Source organism: Homo sapiens, chromosome 11, assembly GCF_000001405.40.
Source record: "Homo sapiens chromosome 11, GRCh38.p14 Primary Assembly".
Lineage (NCBI taxonomy): Eukaryota > Metazoa > Chordata > Mammalia > Primates > Hominidae > Homo > Homo sapiens.
This window is the reverse complement of record NC_000011.10, coordinates 15,694,781-15,712,292: the sequence shown is the minus strand read 5'-3', so window position 1 is coordinate 15,712,292 and position 17,512 is coordinate 15,694,781. Positions and strand designations below refer to the sequence as shown.

Sequence of the window (17,512 nt, the reverse complement as noted above, 5' to 3'; positions counted from 1 at the left end):
TTAGAGACAAAGTCTCACTATGTTGCCCAGGCTGGTCTCAAACTCCTGGCCTTCAGTGATCCTCCCACCTTGGCCTCCCGAAGCACTGGGGTTTCTGGCATGAGCCACCTTGCCTGGCAACTTTAGAATTATAAAGGGAGACAATATCAGCCAGATGGTGGAATAGGAGGCTCCGTATTTTCTCTCTTCCTACAGATACATGGAATAAACAGCTACACATGGATCAATTTTCTGTGTGACAAATCTAGAATTACAAACTCGAACAAAATGGGCCCTTAAATATCATCTAGTCCACAGGTTTTTAAACTGTGTTGCCAGGGCTTCCTTGGAGTCTGGGGGTTCAGCTGCCCTCAGGATGGGGGCCAAATAGGCTGAGATCCCTGTCTCCAGCTTCAGTCAGAGCAGCTGTGCTTTGCTTTGAGTACTGGGCATCTGCGTATGAATTAAGAAAAAAGATGAGATTCTGATGCTAAAAGGCGAAGTTTGAAAAATCACTGGACTGGACCAACCCTCCCACTTTGTAGACGAAGAAAATTTAGAGGCAGGAGGAGCAAGGACATGACTTGCGTGGGGTCAAGAATGAGTCAATTAATGGGCTTTAAGAAGAGACTGGGCTTCCTATTATTGAAGACACATTTTCATGCTCATTTTCTTCTTCAGATCAATCAAGGTGTCCCCCTCCTTCTTCTTGGAGGAGTCAGGCTCCTGCCAGCCAGATCTTCCACAACACTTAAAAGACAAAGGATCAAAGTGAAAAAACAAATGCTAATGCTCCCAACCCTGCTGACCACCTACTGGGCCCAAGAGGTTCAAAGCTTCAAACCGGGGAGGAAAAGCCCAGCCCCCTTCTATCACCCGGGCTCTCTGCAGCTTTTAGGACCACTCTCCAGCATCCCCTTCCACATGGCTTTCTAGAGCTACTCAGGCCTCCTGACACACTTGGTCCAAAGAGGCTCCCAGAAGGCCTGGCCCCTAAATAGTCCCTGTACCATGATGACTACGTGTGTGCCTGGGGTTAACTGTGGTGGATAACGGTTCCATCTGTTCAAAATATGTTTACAAGGTATAGGCAGAGAAAAGGATTGGAAAGTACACACACTTCAAACTGCTGAAGAATTTTGTGAAAGTGTTCTGTGTGTTTTTAGGCAAACCACTCCAGTTTTCTGGGTCTCAGCTTTCCACTTTTAGAAATGAACAGCTGGAGGAGTTATTTCTAAGGCCCTTATCGGCTGACAAATGCCGCTCAGTCTTGTTGTTTTCTATTCTCTTAAGACATTATTTGAAGAGAGTTTTCCCCTGAGGAAAGTGCTTCAGAGGAGAAAATACACCAGGTAAGTGTTCCTAGTGGAACACATGTTTAGGGCAGTTAGGAGTGTAAGACATTGTAAAAGATGGAAAGGGAATGAGGACAGAGACTCATGCTGAGTCTGCAGCAGGGATTTGCTGCTCCTTTTGAAGAATGTAAAGGGCCACTGTGCCAGGAGTTGGGCTCTGAGCCCTGTTGGGAATCCAGGGAGGCCCATGGTGACTTGATCTGCTGCAGGCTCAAATTCACCCCATGCCTGGCCCCTGGGAACTCTGACACCCTTGGACTCCAGTAAAATTTGAGTAGGGATGCATTCCAAGATTAAGTAGCAAAGAGTGCAAAGTGAAAGATAGTGAGAGGGCACCACCTGTGCCTTGTGGTTTTGTAATTCCTGCTTTGAACCTTTCCCTTTTAATGGTAATAAAAAAACGCAGGTAAGTAAGTCATTTTTATGCTGTCATTTCCAAGACCCTCCTCCAGGCAGGACTCATGTATGGTGGGTCCACATACTAAATGGTTTACCCCGTTTCTGACCTCATTAGTCAGTCCTGTGCAATACTGGATTGTTAAATATTCTGAATACCACTCAAAATTCTAGGACTTTTTACTTGAGGTATTGGAGCAGAGAGACAAAAACCCTCAGGAAGACTTCTTTTCATCAAAATTCAACTAAGCACCTACTATGTGTCAGACTCTTAGACATGCCTGCAGTCCCCAAACATCAGGTCTGCTAGGTGTGGTGCTGTCCAGAAGCAGCTATGATTTCCCAGTATTATCAGATCCAGTAAAGAACTCAGTGAGAATAAAGGCTGGAGAACTAACGGCAACCAAATCCTATTGCTCCTTAGGCTGCAATAATGCCAGCCCCCTATTGTCTTCTGGAGGGCAGGAGGTATTGGGTGGGAGGGAGAATGGAGGAGAAGCCCACTCGGGCTTTATTCTAAATAATTATTTGCAATTATCTGAAGGGGAAAGGAATTGCAATAGCAATAGCAGGGAATCAAATCCTCCTAACCTTTGCTTATCCGGAATTTCCGTCTTTACCTATTTTCTGAGAAGCAGGTTACCTCTTTCATGAAATTTTTGTTTTCAGATTTTAGAAGGGGCTTCACTCTCTTTTTTGCTTCTGTTGCTATTTGTAAGATCAGCTACTACAGTCTCATAGCACTTTACTATATTTATCTATTTAAAATGTTGTCTTCCCCAACCAGACCCAGATCTTCTCTAAGAAAGGACTGAGCCCATTTATCTTTTCCTTCTTGATGCCTAAGAGTGCCTGGTACATAATGCAGCTTTGTAAATACTTGTTAAATGAAAAAATGAATGACTAAATAAGTAAAAATGAATGAATAAATAAATGCATTCCTAGACTCTGGCTCTCTGTAGGCATCACTAAATTATGTTGCCTATCTGGCTCCTGGTGGCATTTGTGTTCTAGCCCCTGCTGTAGGTGATAATTAATTAAAATTAGGATCAGCTGGAGGGTTAGAAAATCCTGAAATAGCAGTGGCTTAATAAGAATCAAAGTTTCTTTCTTTCTCATTGAAAGTTTGAAAGAAACAGCCACGGTTTGCATGGTGTTCCATGGTTTGTTTCTACCTTGCTGTGCATGACCTCCACTGCTAAGGTCATTTATGGCCCAAGATGATTACTCCAGCTCCAGCCATCACATCTGTATTCCATCCTGCAGAAAGGAAGAAAGAAGGTAAAGAGCACATTATGACTCTTTAAGGACACTGGTTAAAGTTGCACACTCCATTTCTATGTAAATCCCATTGATTGTAACAGGATTAAGTCACATGGTCACACCTTGCTCAGAGGAGGTTGGAAGACACAGTTTTTGTTGTTAATAGCCACCGAAAATGTGGGAGTTATATTACCACTGAAGAATGGTGATTGAAGAACAACACACAATGCCTGCTATAGTAACCATTTATGGTTTTTTTCTTTGTTTTTTGCCAAGAGAGTGGACGGATGAAATCAATAGTATAGAAAGATCAATATGGTGGCTGGAAGGAACAAGACATTAGAGAAAGAAGATACTGGAGTCAAGGAGACCAGTAGGAAGCAGTTTTGCAAAAGTCTAGATAGATGAGATGAAATAGGACAGTAGCAGATAGGATGGAAGGGTAGATGCAGATTGCTAAAGCAGTTTGGTAGTGAACTAGTCAATGCCGTGTGAATATCGCTGGGGTGAAGAAAGAGAAGGAGTCTAGAATTAGGCTCCCTTTGTGATTGGTGCCCTTGGAAATGGGGCTGTCACTGATTGATTTGGGGAATTTCAGGAAGACCTCAGCAGGTGAGGTAGAGATGAGTACTGAGAGCGCTGATTTTGATTTGGGACGCTTAAAGAGCTGAGCACTGACTGATTCAGGTAACCCCTAGAGATCTAGCTAACCCCTAGAGTTTCCCAGAGTGCACCCCCAGAAGAAAACTCTAGGGGTTACTTGGATCAGTCAGTAAGAATGGACAGTTAGTCCAGTTGGAATGAGTATAGTGGAGCAGGAAACACAGTTGGAGGGTGAGAGTAGGGTCATCTTCCTGTCTTCTCCCTGGTACTGTGGTCATTGCCCTGTTTCTCAGAAGAGTTTGAAGACAGAAGTGATTTCAAATTCTCACTAATTAAAATGGAGGCTATCAGCATGTGCCTGAAGTCCTGCTGCTGCTGCAGAGGAAGTAAGGAGGGGTTGTCAAATCCACAGCCAAGCCTCTAGGCAGCATCCTGACTCCAGGGGGAGGTGCTGGGAAGCTGGGGAGGGGCAGCCACGTGCCAGCTGGCTGTGCCAAGTGAGGGAGCCACATGCCTGGGGTTCTGCCATGTGTTTGTTTATTTGGTTTGGCTGATGTAAAACATACACACACAGACTCACAGCCTTAGGGCCTGTTTGCAGAGCCCATGTTTAATCCTCAACTAAAATCAGGAACAGCGCAGGAAAAAAGAAGGAAGCCAAAATAGCAGAATACAACTAGGTAGCAGAGTTTGTTCACTCATTCATTAATTTATTCACTCACTCATTTAGCAAATGAATACCAGGCACTACGCAAGGCACTGGGGCAATAACGTGAATACGTTTCCCTAAGGAGCTCCAAGACAGGGTCTGGGAACAGAAACAAGGGAAGAGGTCATTTTAGTACAAAGTGAAAGGTGCATGATACAGATTTACAGCACAGCTCTGATCTGGTCATTTCCTGGCTCAAAATCCGACAGGGGCTCCCCTCATATCTAAGCAGGCTTTCATAGGCCCAATAATCACACCCTTAAACCTTCACCCATGCTCCAAGTTCAGGGGAATTCAAGCAGCTCCAGGATCATGCTGCCTCTCACATCTCCTGACCTGCTCACACTCTGTTTCTCCTGCTTGTTAGGGCCTTCTTTCTTCTGTTCTTTGTTGCTTCCCACTCAGCCTTGAAAGTCAAGTGTCATCATCTCCTGGTGACCATCCTCTGGGTCCTCACTACATGCCCTGTGCCTTTATTGCTGGCACTGCTCAACTGCTACTTTCACCTGCCCATCTCCCCTGTGGCCTGTGAGCAACTCCAGCAGAGATGGATCTTGTCCACATCTGTATCCTGGCAGCTAATCGATGCCTGGCACAGAAACACTCTTAATAAATGCCTGTCCAATTGAATGGACATAATTTAGTGCTACTATGGATAGCCTCAATGTGCCATAATTAAAATACACTTGGATTCTGGAGTCAAACCCTGAGCTCTGTCACCTCCACCTTATCATTTCCTTCTCTGAGCCTGTTTTCTTATTCTTCAGCTTAAGCTGATAATATTTCTGAGTGTCTTATATGAAAATGCTTTCTTTGGTATTTGTTCACCTTTCTTTCTTTAATGTGATAGACATGGAGCATTTATTTATTACTTTTATGATTATCCTCCTAAGAAAAAGACAAGGCCCTGCTCTGAGGAGTGAAGACACAATCCAGCAGGCAGGAGGGATGGCTAAGTTCAAAGTCTTGAGAAGTGCCCCTCATGGACACCCCAGGGTGCCCATCTCCAGGTTACCACCAGGTAATATGGACTTTTAGGTCATTATAAAGATGCATTTGATAATATGAAAGAGTGAAAACATTCTATTCTTCAAGTTTGCTTTCTTGATGCGTGACATTTAAATATTTAGATGTATGGTGTTTGAGTCTGTAGTTAGCTTGGGCTATGTTTTAGTAAGTTTTGGCTGCCACAACAAAATATCACAGACGGAGTAATTTATAAACAATAGAAATTTATTCCTCATGGTTCTGGAGGCTGTGAAGTTCAAGATCAAGGTGCTGACTAATTTGGTTTTTGGTGAGAGCTGTCCTTGCTGTGGCCACATTTTTGCAGTGTCCTCACATGGCAGGGGGCAGGAGGGGAGTCTCTTTTTATAAAGATGCTAATCCCAACATGAGGGATGCATCCTCATGACCTAATTACCTCCCAAAAGCCCTGCTTCCAAATACCATCACTTTAGGGGTTAAGGCATAAACATATGACTTCTGGGGAACACAGCTTAGTCTGCAGCAGCCTTCCTTGGTATCCCTGCTCTAGGTGCCACAAATGTTAGGGATGGGCCTTGGATGATGGAAGTACAGGGGAGTTAGCTTCCCATAGTGGGGATCCCTCGGACCAGTGAGAAAAGGGAAAGGGAAAAAGAAGGAGCCAAATACATAAATACCCAGTTAAAAGAAAAAACTTTAGACAAATTAAACTTTACACAGTTTAATTGGGCAAAGAACGATTTGCGAATCGGCCAGCCCCCAGAACCAGAATAGGTTCAGAGCTACTCCACATGGTCGAATATTTATGGACAGAAAAAGGAAAGTGACCTAGCAAAACCAGAAGTGAGGTACAGAAACAGCTGGATTGGTTACAGCTGGGCCTTTGCCTTATTTGAACCTGCTTTGAACAGTCAGCTGCCTGCGGTTGGCTGAGACTCTGGTACTTGTTACAAGAGTAGGTTACAGTCTGTTTACATATAAAGTTAGTTTATGGTTCACTATGTATGGAGAAACTTTTAGGCCAAACTTATAATATGTATGGAGGCAGCTGTAAGCAAACTTAAGTCAACAACTCCTTCCCTTCTCTCCCCTTCCCTTCTCCATTACCCTTAGAGATGGTTTCTCCTTGCAAATGATGTAGACGAATTCCAAGCGCTGCTGCTTACCTACCCAGCAAGCTGCTGTGTCTCAGGGAGGATCATGGGGAGGTGGTGGCCAGCTGCTGTGCATCACATTGCATATTTTCTTGCCTCATTTCCCTTTTCAACTCATTCTCACCACCCCCTGGGCCTCACTCTCAAGGCCCTGATTTTGCTTCTACTAAATGTCAGCACTTTAACCTTGGGCTTTGCTTTTTAGAGGACTGAGAGTGAAGAAACTGCCTCTGTCACTTACTAGTTATGACTTTGAAGCAGGTTACTTGACCTCTTGTGCCTCAGTTTTCTCCTCTGTAAAATGGTGATAAATGGTAATAACTCCTATAGAGAGTTTCTGTGAAGAGAAGACTAAATGAATTATTAATATGTCAATTAACTGCCCCTTAACTGTTAGGTTTTATAATTCTTCTTTCTTCAAGGATACTGTATTAGTTTGCTTGGGGCTGCCATAACAAAATACTACAGAGTGGGTGGCTTAAACAACAGGAATTTATTTTCGCATAATTCTAGAGACTAGAAGTCCAAGGTCAAGGTGTCGGCAGGGTTGGTTTCTTCTGAGGCCTCACTCCTTGGCTTGCAGCTGGCTGTCTTCTCGCCATGTCTTCACATGGTCTTTTCTCGGTGTGTCCTCATCCCTGGTGCCTCTTTTCCTCTTCAAATTTCCTTTTCCTGTAAGGACACCAGTCAGATTGGAATAGAGCCCACCCTGATGGCCTCCTTTTAACTTAATCACCTCCTTTCATTGCCCCATCTTCGAATACAGTCACATTCTAAAGTACTGGGGCTTCAACATGAGTTTTGGAGGGACACCATTATAGCCCAGGACAGACACTGGTTAAGTGCTACCTCTGTGTAGAGTGACCAACTCAACCTCAACCAGGTTTGCCTTGTATTTTCCTGGTTTTAGTACAGAAATTCCAGCATCCCAAGGAATCCCTCAGTCCTGGGTAAGTCAGGAAGATTGGTCAGCCTAGCTCTTCCAGAAGCTTTACCCAAGTCTTTTGCAATATGTAAGGACTAGAGGAACCCAATATGTATCTAGAACTCCATCCTTCCTGGTGGACCTTGACAGCCATTAACTTGCTTAATCCTCATTTCAGCCTTGTGAAGTAGTTGGGGCAGGAAACAATATCCCAGTTACATAAAGGAAGAAATAGGCTCAGAAAGATTAACCTTGACTCCCTCAGCTCTGTTTATCTTTCTCTGGGTTCTTTCATTACTAGGTGCTTCCAAGACCAAGATAACCAGGCAATCATAGTAGATGCATCAATGCACCCTTGCCCAAGGGCCTAGACAAGAGGTAAGTAACCATGATTTATCAGTGAGTGAGTCCTGAAATTTCTCTAGTGCGATTTGAATTAAAGAAAGTAAACAGACAATCATACCTGTACTACTTGGGTAGCGGTGATAGGTGGGCCACAGCCTGGGCCTTAGAGCAAATGCCTCTGGCTGGAAAACTGGAGGGTGGGAGGGGAGCAGGGAGAGATGCAGGCTGTGTTTGAGGATCTGCTCTGAAAGGCAGGGAGGGAAGCCATTGATTAGTGAGCTTTGTTTGAACTGCTCAAGGATCAAAGGAACAAATACCATGTGGGAAGATAAAAGTTGACCTGGAAACCCTGTGTCCCAGCCTGCTGGGATCCAGTCTGCCTTAGGCCCATGGCTCAGGCTGGAGGACTCTCATAGGAGGGCAAGACTGCAAGCTCACTTCTTCCTCAACCTGACCCCTGACCCCTCCCTTACCCATGGCCTTTAAGAAGAGCTTTCTTTTGTCCCTTGGGCACTCTCCAGGGTAAGGGGTGGTCAAGGTTATAAGGGGGCCCAGAGATCAAGAATTATTTCTGGCCTTTGAAGAACATGGGGAAGTCACCAGATGATATGTGATGAATACTATGATTAAGCTGGGCTTGGAAGACTGAAGGTATACCACTCACTAAGAAATCCCTAAACCTACCCTGTGGGGCACATAGGAAGGCAGCCCAGTTTATGCCTCAAGGAATAAATTGATAGAGGAGATGGTTTCTGGTTTTCTTTTAGGAGGAAGGAAAGGAGGAGCACGTGCACAAAGCTAAGGAGGTGATTAACAACATGATACAGTAAGGACCAGCCAATATTAACTGAATTTCTAAGCTGTGCCAGGACCTCCATCATCTCATGGAATCCCAATGGCATTCAATGAAGCAGCCTTGGGATTCTTCTATTTCATAATGGAATGAGAGAAATGAGGCTCACAAAGGTTGGATAACTTGCCTGAGGTCACACAGTTGACATATGGCAGAGCCGGGATGTGAACACATCTCCCTGCTTGAAAATCTGGCTTCTCACCCGTAAAGGTGTGGTTATATCCATGTTTTCAAAAGTTCCCTCTGGTTGCTGGGGGTAGACTGGAGGAGCTAGAAGTAGTGTCTGAGGAACCAGTTAGGACTGTATTGCAATAGTTTCAGGTAGCTGGTATAGTTTCCTAACCCATAAGATCAGGTGTGCAGAAAAGAAGCGAATTTTCTGTAAACTTGAACCCAAGTCCATTGTTGGCAGATATTTAATCTTAGTTCAGGGATTTCTCCATCTCTTCCTTCTCCCCATGGTAGCAGCTAAGTTCTACAGGAGGAATGGATTGTATAGCATCAAGTCATGGAATGAGAGTTAGAGTTGGAGGCTGGCAAGGGCTATCATCTATTCACACTTTGACATCCAGGGCCTTCCGGGTCACTTTTTCACTAAGATCATCATGTGGCCTTTTCATTTTCTAGATAGGGAGGTCCAGACTCTACTATTTCCCCAGCCTATGCTTTGTGGGGAATGCAAAAGGGCTGAATTACGTCCTAAGCCTAGATGTCTGAAGCAACTACACCTAACCTTCCTGTTCTGTTCCCTGGTAGCTAACGGGAAAATTCTGGAGGTTTCCATCTTTCCAGGCAGAAAATGGGAAGGGGAGCACAGGCTCTCTTTGTCCTCAGCTCCTTGAAATGAAGGGGAGAACTATCCCCTGCTTCCCACTCTTGGGCTCAGACCAGGCATGCAGGGCACAGAGACCCCTCTCAGGGGTCCAGACAGGTGTTCACTTGATTAATCTTCTGACTATCTGCCAATTCTACCAGATCTTTAAACTTTATGCTTTCTGTAAGTATCCTTTCTAGTCTACTCTTCAGGCTAGGATTTTGGCTGTTGAATCAATAATTAATTTGCTTGTTTCTCTTTGTATTTCCGTTATAGCTACCTTTCTCTGATGCAATGGATGCTCAGGCTTTATGTTCTAGTTTTAATGGAGGAAAGACCATGGATGTGTAGAAATAATAATGGGAACAAAAGCACTGGGATTAATATTTCAAATTACTATTCTGTTTTACATGCAGGCTATCTGAAGGTCTGGATCATGACAGTGGCAGTAGGGGAGGCAATGAGGGAGTAGATTAGAGAGAGCTTCAAGGATCAGAATCCAAATGTTTTGGCAACTGGTAAAATCTGGAGGATAAGGAAGAGAGATGTTTTCTGTGTCTCTTTCAGGTATTGTTTAGCTTCGCATGAATTTTATCACCTTGCCTAGAACCAGCCACCATCTGCCAGGGTAAGCTATGGCTGGTCCATGTCATATAGAACCGAATCAAGGGTACCAAATTATTGTGGACTTACCTGATATCTGGCCTCTTTTTGTTATTTACTTAGGCTCCTGACTTTTTCTGAAATGAATAGACACTAAAGCCTGCTGGGGAATTTCATGGAAATCAAGATGACTCAACCCAGAGTCCATTTCAAGGCTAGGATGCTAGAGGACGCCAACAAAGGAGTAGGGAAGTGAAACGGATCAGCTCACATCCAAGCCCTTGCATGATCAATCCTGCAGTAGGAGTGCTGCTCAGTTGGGACTCATGAGAGCCCGGAAGAGGAAAAAGCAGCTCTAAGCATAGCAAAGAAGCTGTTATGGAAAAGACCCAAATGTTAAAATGGTGGACATAGTAAAGTGATTGGTTCTGCTTAGGGGAATCTAGATCCCCACATTTTGACCTCCACTGGAGTCTCAGAAGAACAAGTGCCAGGGGGGCTTGCCACAGAGGCCAAGGCAGTGAATGTCAGGCACATCACAGTCCCCAAGATGGGGAGAAGACTGAGATGCAGGGTAACAACTGCAATCCATTCATGGGAGCCATGTTTATCTTAAATCATTGACAGTGAGATAAGGATCATGTCAGCCTTCATACCTTTGATGATGATCCCAGGCTGCAACAGTGACACATAGAACTGGATTCAGTAACTAACTACAGATTCCATCAACCAGGACTAGTAAAGTGAAAGGCAGAAATTGGGAGGAGGGGTTTCTTTCTTGCTTATAAAACTTTATTTGGTTGTGTTGAGTATGTGCATGTATGTATGAAATCCCATAAAGCAGTCTTCTTAGGAACAAGCCAACATGCCACAATGTAGGAGATCTTTGGAGCACTGGCCTAAATGGCAGAGAGCTCAAGGGACTCTGCTTTGTACAAGGCATGATTTGTACCACCACCACTATCCCTGTTTCAGAGCACTGTTGAATTGTTCCAAACCTGGATTTCTATGTCAGCTCCCTGTCTATAGTACTTGACTGATAAATGCTAGTTTCTGAAATCTGCTTTGGTTCTATAATTTATTAGACAGCTTTTTCTTCCCATTTTATTACTTGTTTTTACTGTCATTGGTATATTATCTCTTACAGTGAAAACATTCATAGGCTGATTGAAGAGAAGATCTGAAATTATTAGGCAGCAAGCATACAAAACCCTTGCTTTATAAAGATAATATCTTAAAGGCCTAATGTCTATGGTTCAAAGCAGCCTGGAGATGTTGGCTAAATCTTCCATCATAGAGTCCTCATGGGATCTGGAAGCTCTGATTTATCTTCCTTCAGGCCCTATAAGTTAGCTTTCCACATCTGTAGGTTCCACAATCAACCTTGGATCAAAAACATTTGAAAAAATAATAATATAACAATAAATAATAATATACATAAGAAAACAATACAACAACTATTTACATAGCATTTACATTGTATTAGGTATTATAAGTAATCTAGAGATGATTTAAAGTATATGAGAGTATGTGTGGGACTTATATGCAAATACTATACCATTTTATATAAGCAACTTGAGCATGAACAAATTTCAGTAACCGCAGGGGGGCCTGGAACCAATTTCCCGTGGATGCCAGTACACAAAGACTAATCAGAAACTTTTGCGTGGATATGGAACCCCTGGCTATTCAGAAGTGCCTTTGAGGTTGGTATAGTGTATTATTAACTTTTAACAAAAACCTCTTGAGGTAGATAGGGTATATGGTAGTATCATTTTTATTTAACATAGAACAGTGAGATCCAAAGAGGACTAATGTTGCTTGCTGCAACATTGGTCTCATCCATTTGTTCGTACATTCATCTCAAATATTATTGCTTGCCTCACCTAGCATGTTCCAGGCTCTGGGCTTGGTACTTACTATGCTGAAAGAAACAAGATCCGGTACTGAGCCCAGTTGCTCACAGTCTAGTGAAGGAGACAGACACACAAAAGAACATTATAAACCAATTAATTTATTCAACAAATATTTATTAAGATCTTACTCGATGTCTGGTACTGGGAACATAGCAACAAGTAGGTCAAAGTCCATGCTCTCAGTTTTGGGAAACACAGATAATAAATGAGTATATAATATGTTAGGTGGTGATAAGTCCTATGAAGAAATGTCCGGAAGGAAAGGGGACAGAGTGCAGCAGGTGTGGAACTGTGGCATTTTAGATAAGCTAAAGAAGACCTCTCAGATAAGGTGGCATTTGGGAGAGAATTAAATGCACTAAAGGAATAAGTCCCAGGAGTCCAGGGAGGGGGAACATCAAGTGCAAAGATCCCTGAGGGAGGAGTGGGCCTTGTGTGTTGAAGGAACAGCAGGAAAGGAACAGCAGGAAAGGGACTGGAGGGGAATGAATGAAGGAGGAAGAAGGAGCAGATGAAGGCATAGAGGGAGAAGAGGGCCAGGTCATGGAGGATGGAGGTCCAGCAGGCATGGTAAAGACTTTGGATGTTTTTTAAAAAAGATAGGAAGCCACGAAAAGATTCTGTGCAAAGAATTGACTTGACTAAATGATGTTTTGACAGGGTTACCCCATAACTTGCTGTGAATAGACTGTGAAGGTCAAGAGCAGAAGTAGAGCCGTCAGTTTGGAGATTATTGCAAATGGGCCAGGGGACACCTGGTACTGGAGCCGTAGCCAAGGAGGCAATGAGAGATGAGATTAGGGATATTTCTTTAATATATTTGCTGACATTTGGGTATTGGCTGTGAGAAAAGGAGAGGAATACACAAAAACGTGGGTGCACTGAGAAAAGACACTGCCATTGGTCAAGTTTGCTGGGAGATGGTTTCTAAGTCTTTTAAGATTTGGGTGCAGGAGGTTTATTGGGGTGCATTCTCAGAAACAACACCTTTGAAGGAGTGAATGCAGCCTGGAGAGGGAGAAGTTGTGCTGTGATGCGGTCACAACAGAGGCTTAGCTGATCCCACAGGAAGCTTGGGAACTGGGACAACCCTTTCTTATTGTCTCATTTAAGCAAAAGGTCCAGACCTTTGTAGCTCCACATCAACCAGTCATTATAGTGGCACACTGCCCCGGGGATGGGGCATAACCATGGGTGAGTTGGCTTCTTTTTGCTGGGAGCAAGTCCTGGAGAGAGATTCTCCTGTGACTTATTAGCACCCAATACTAGCGCCCAGGGGTTGAGAGCCTGTGTCCTGAAGGGTGCCTGGGTGGCACAGCACACACACTGTCAACTGCAAATGCCCACTCCAGTCTAGGCAGGGAAGAGTCAGGGAGGACTTCCTGGAGGAGACGATACCTAGGCTGGTTTCAAAGCACCCCATGCTACTTTTCTCAGTTATGTGATTTTATTATGAGCAAGAAGGTGCTTAAACACTATCCTAACTCAAATGCCCTAATTATGCTCATTTGTTAAATCTTCAATGAAACTGAACTCTGATGTTAATTGCCTTTTAAACTAAAGCATTTTCAGCTCCCCAAATTATAATAAATCCGTCTGATTTATAGCTATGCCATTATATTTTTTAAAAAAATCTATTGATTCAGAATATATATTTTTAAAATCTATTGATTCAGAGCATACAACTGAGGCAAAATTGATATTCCAATTGTTCAAATTTCTGGCAACCAAATATTCCTCAATAAACAGAATTCTAACATGCTGATATTTTTATTAGCTCTTATTGGCAGGAAATCCCTTCCAAGAGCTAACATAAATCCTGTTTGGTACAATTTGGGACATTTCCTCTAGATTTTTCTGCAGAGGAGTTGGAGAATGGCTGGCAGCCGGATCTATACCATAGGCTATTCCTGCACTTAAAGCCTGTTTATGAGGATGATTCTCATCGTTTTGAGAGAAAAATGTTAGAGATAGAGACTGGCAACTGGAAGAATATATTATAAAATGTATGCCCCATGAATGAGCAGGCATGTATATGTGTGTGGCTACATATTTGCATCTGTAAGTATGTATAGTGCTATGTGTATATATGCACACATATATGTAGGCAAGTGTGATGGGTATTAGGAGAATGTGTATATGAATATTTTTGTTTGTGTTTGTGTGAGAATCTTCATGTGTAGGGCTATGTTTATAATGTATGTATGTCTGGGCAAGTGATTCAAGTGTGTGTATATATTTAGGTTTGTGCATGTGTGTGCATGAGAATAAACACATGTGGGCAGGTCAACAGTTGTTCCCAGCCACATGAAGTAATCAGATCTCATGGTTCCATGGCAAGAATATAAATGCCAAGGTCAGGTTTCTTGCCTGCATCAACTTTACTCTAGTGATCTTGCTCCAAACATTTTCCTTAGGGGCCTCTCTAGTTCCTCTCTCTCTTCCCACCAGGGGTGCAGGCCCAGAGGGGCCTCAGACAGCTTCCCGGCCTTTGGAGCTGTGCTCTGATGTCTGCCCCAGGAGCCTTAGCTGTGGCAGTCTTGTCATGTTGGACTCTGCTGTCACTGCCAAAGTGACAATCGATTATCAGAACCGGAGCTGCCCAGAAACCCAACTTCTGTGCGGGGCCCTTTGATCTGCCCAGGCTTGGAATGGAGCAGAGTCTGGCACAGGTGGCTTTGATGGGGCCAGACCAATGAAGGGGCTGTAGGCTGGTCCCACCCAGTCCCCGCAGCCTTTGATGCCCACCTGCCCTGCAAGGTTCAGGCTACAGAAGCAGGCTAGTTGGAGTAGGAGCCAGCCGCACTACACTCTGCTCCTCAGCTTTGGTGGAAAATCACCATCTGGGTGTTTGGCCTGGTGATGCTTGGATCTCAGGGCTGCAGAAGCCAATTCTTAGAAACATTGTTCTTGCAACCACCCATCTATCAATTCAGCTAGTATTTATGGAAAACTTACAGAGTCAGCAGAGCAAAGTTATTACATGCACAGTCTTTCGAGTCAGAATGCTTGGATTAAATTTGGCCACTTATTAGTTGTTCCAACTTGGGCGAGTTAAATAACTTGCATGTGTCCCTCTGTGTCTCCATTTTCTCATCTGTTATGAGGTTGTTATGAAGACCAAATTAGATAGTGCAAATAAGGCACCTGATACCTATTAAGACTTCACAAATGTTATATATTATTATTGCAGGGGCCTGCATGTTTGAGTGGAGAAGTCTTATCCGTTCTGAAGCCCTATGACTTGGGTTCAAATCCCAGCTCCAGGTCCTGGCCCCATCATTTTCCAGTTAACTTATCTCATGGGGTTATTATGAGGAGTAAATGAGCAAATATATATAAAGTGCTTAGAATAGTGTCTGGCACCGAATAAGTGCTTCATAGAAGTTAGTTTTTAATAATGATAATGACTTGAAACAAGGCCAGCCTGGGCCAGAGGGTATGAAGTTCTTTGACTATCTCTGGAATAAACCTTCAATCTTCAATTTATTTACTTATTTTTCTGAAAGATCAGATCTACTCCTATAATTTTGACTGCTATTCTCTGACTCCCAAATTCCAAATTCAATCATGTAACTTTCGTGCTTAAATTCCTCTAGTGGATTCCACTTTCCAGAGAATATTCCAAACCACTTAACATAGCATTTGAGACTCTCTGCCATCTGTCCTTTGCTGATCTCCTCAGCATTGTAACTCATAACCCTTCCTGTTCCTACTTCCCACATCCACTGCCAAGCATACTGAGAATGCAGGCTCCATGTACCTTTATGTGCTTGTGCCCTCTACCTAGAATGCCCTTTCCTCCATTGTCTGGCTGTGAACTCCTTCTGTTCCTTCAAGACTCAGATCTCAGGTCCTTCCCATATAAAGCATAAAGCCTTTTTTTAAAAAACTATTCCCTGAACAGTAGAGTTAGGCATCACTTCTTTTATGCTTCTGTCTTAGACTCAGGACATGCCTTGGCTTCTGTGACATGGCAGGACACTTGCTGGTCCACTTTCCTTATAGACTATGAGCTTCCAGAGTGGGATCCTGAACCATCCGACTCAATCAACAGCATTAAGCACAGTGCTTGGCACCTGATAAACACTCCATAATCATCTGCTGAGCAGATTAACTCAATCTATCTCTCCCACTTCTCAGGTCCGCTGACCTCCTGGACAGCTTCCCCTTGGAATCTCATGGCTCCTCAAGTTCAGCTGATACATGCCATTTCAATATCACTCTCCCTCATGCTGTTCCTTCTTAATTCAATGAATGCCACCGTCCATCCATCCAATCTCCAGATATGGAAACTGGAGGGTCATTGTTGAAGTCCTTGCTCATAGTCATTACATACCCATCCCAAGCCATTTTGATGTCTTGGGACACCAAAAGCCCCAGGACATTTTTATTTGACCCCTTAAATGTTTCTTCTGTTTTTCCTTCTTCTCCATTTGCATCCCCACTTCCACTCTGGATGATGCCTATGGAAATCTTCTCACATTCCTCCAGGACTTGAAAAGTTTCCCGTAATTTCCAGGATACCATCCAAACTCCTTGGCGGCACTTGTAGGGTCCTCCAGGATCTTACCCCAGCTTTACTCTCCACAGTTACATCTCCTCATTGCATCCAGTGCTCTTGTTATGCCTGAAAACTCATCCTTCTCAAATATGCCAACCTTTACCCACCACTAGCTCACCGGACAGTTGTTCCCTGGACTCCTTGGAATGCCGTTCTCCCACTTCCTCCCCTAGAATATGCTTCCTCTCCCTAGAAACTCAGCAAAAATGCCACCTCAGGACACCTTTCCAGATTCTTCTTCTATATCCTCCCTCCTTCTCCTGCTATGGCCATGCTGAGACCACTGTTCCCTCCTGGGTGCTCTCACAGCTCTTAATGATCAGCTGACCATGCTGTATTGTATCTACTTATTTTAAAGAATGTGTTTATCCCCTGTCTAGACTATGAGCCCTTTGAGAACAATTGTGTGAACTTCAGTTAATAATACTGTCTGACTCTCAGGTTCTTAATCTATCAAATGGAGATAATGTTAGCCATACCTTCTTGGCAGGGCATTGTAAGGGTGAAATGACACAATGTGTGACAAGGGTCTGGGCTCATAAAAGGCACTCAGTAAACAAGCATATCTGTATGATCTTGCTGGCAGGAACAATGCCTGTCGTGAGAGAGTTCCAGAGATGAGAGCCCAGAGAGTACCCAATCACCCCAGCTGACTTTTCAGCAGCTTAATGGTGCTTTCAAGTAGACTTAGTGAAATGGCTCTATCAATTTCTTCAACTCTCTACAACTGAGTGACTTTGCACTCATTATCTTGCCTCTTTGTATCTCAGCTTCCTTGTTTGAAATATGGAGATAGTAATACTATACTTACCTCACAAGGAAGTTTGTTATGAGAATTAAATAAGATGCATATAGGTATTTGTGTTAGCTATTGTTATTATTATTAATGAGTGAACATCATGGAGCAGATGGATCTATGCTTGAATAATGCTTCATAAATAAATTATTAGCATCTTAAAGGGGCTAAAGATACAGGTATTTGAAGAGATGGAAACTGAGAGATTCAAAGCCAGTGGCAGCAATGGCTGCAAGGAGCTATAAAGGTA

At 43.5% G+C, this 17,512-nt stretch overlaps 2 long non-coding RNA genes across 14 annotated transcripts in view, besides 1 other annotated feature; one reads left to right on the top strand and one right to left on the bottom strand.

Annotated features, from left to right (window-relative positions):
- LOC105376567 (uncharacterized) overlaps nucleotides 1–11,045 on the top strand; it is a 67,229-nt gene extending 56,184 nt beyond the window's left edge. For 6 of the 9 annotated variants that reach the window (XR_001748141.2, XR_002957238.2, XR_931071.3 and 3 more), the window contains 4 exons: nucleotides 7,673–7,749; nucleotides 8,484–8,542; nucleotides 9,951–10,011; nucleotides 10,110–11,045. This is a non-coding gene — a long non-coding RNA (uncharacterized LOC105376567). Of the gene's footprint in view, nucleotides 1–1,272; nucleotides 1,332–2,855; nucleotides 3,012–3,963; nucleotides 5,327–7,672; nucleotides 7,750–8,483; nucleotides 8,543–9,950; nucleotides 10,012–10,109 lie in introns of those variants that run through there. The other 3 variants (XR_931065.3, XR_002957240.2, XR_001748140.2) reach the window with 3 other exon arrangements.
- Nucleotides 154–968: an enhancer, noted in NCBI's record as "OCT4-NANOG hESC enhancer chr11:15732871-15733685 (GRCh37/hg19 assembly coordinates)". NCBI's record gives its function as "activates a minimal SCP1, AML or CMV promoter by ChIP-STARR-seq in naive and primed H9 embryonic stem cells {active_cell/tissue: H9 hESC(naive and primed)}" and the evidence as "EXISTENCE:reporter gene assay evidence [ECO:0000049][PMID:30033119]".
- LINC02751 (long intergenic non-protein coding RNA 2751) overlaps nucleotides 6,921–17,512 on the bottom strand; it is a 152,600-nt gene continuing 142,008 nt past the window's right edge. For all 5 annotated transcript variants that reach the window (NR_169502.1, NR_169503.1, NR_169508.1 and 2 more), the window contains 2 exons: nucleotides 7,835–7,960; nucleotides 6,921–7,118 (listed from right to left, as the gene is read on the bottom strand). This is a non-coding gene — a long non-coding RNA (long intergenic non-protein coding RNA 2751). The remainder of the gene's footprint in view (nucleotides 7,119–7,834; nucleotides 7,961–17,512) is intronic.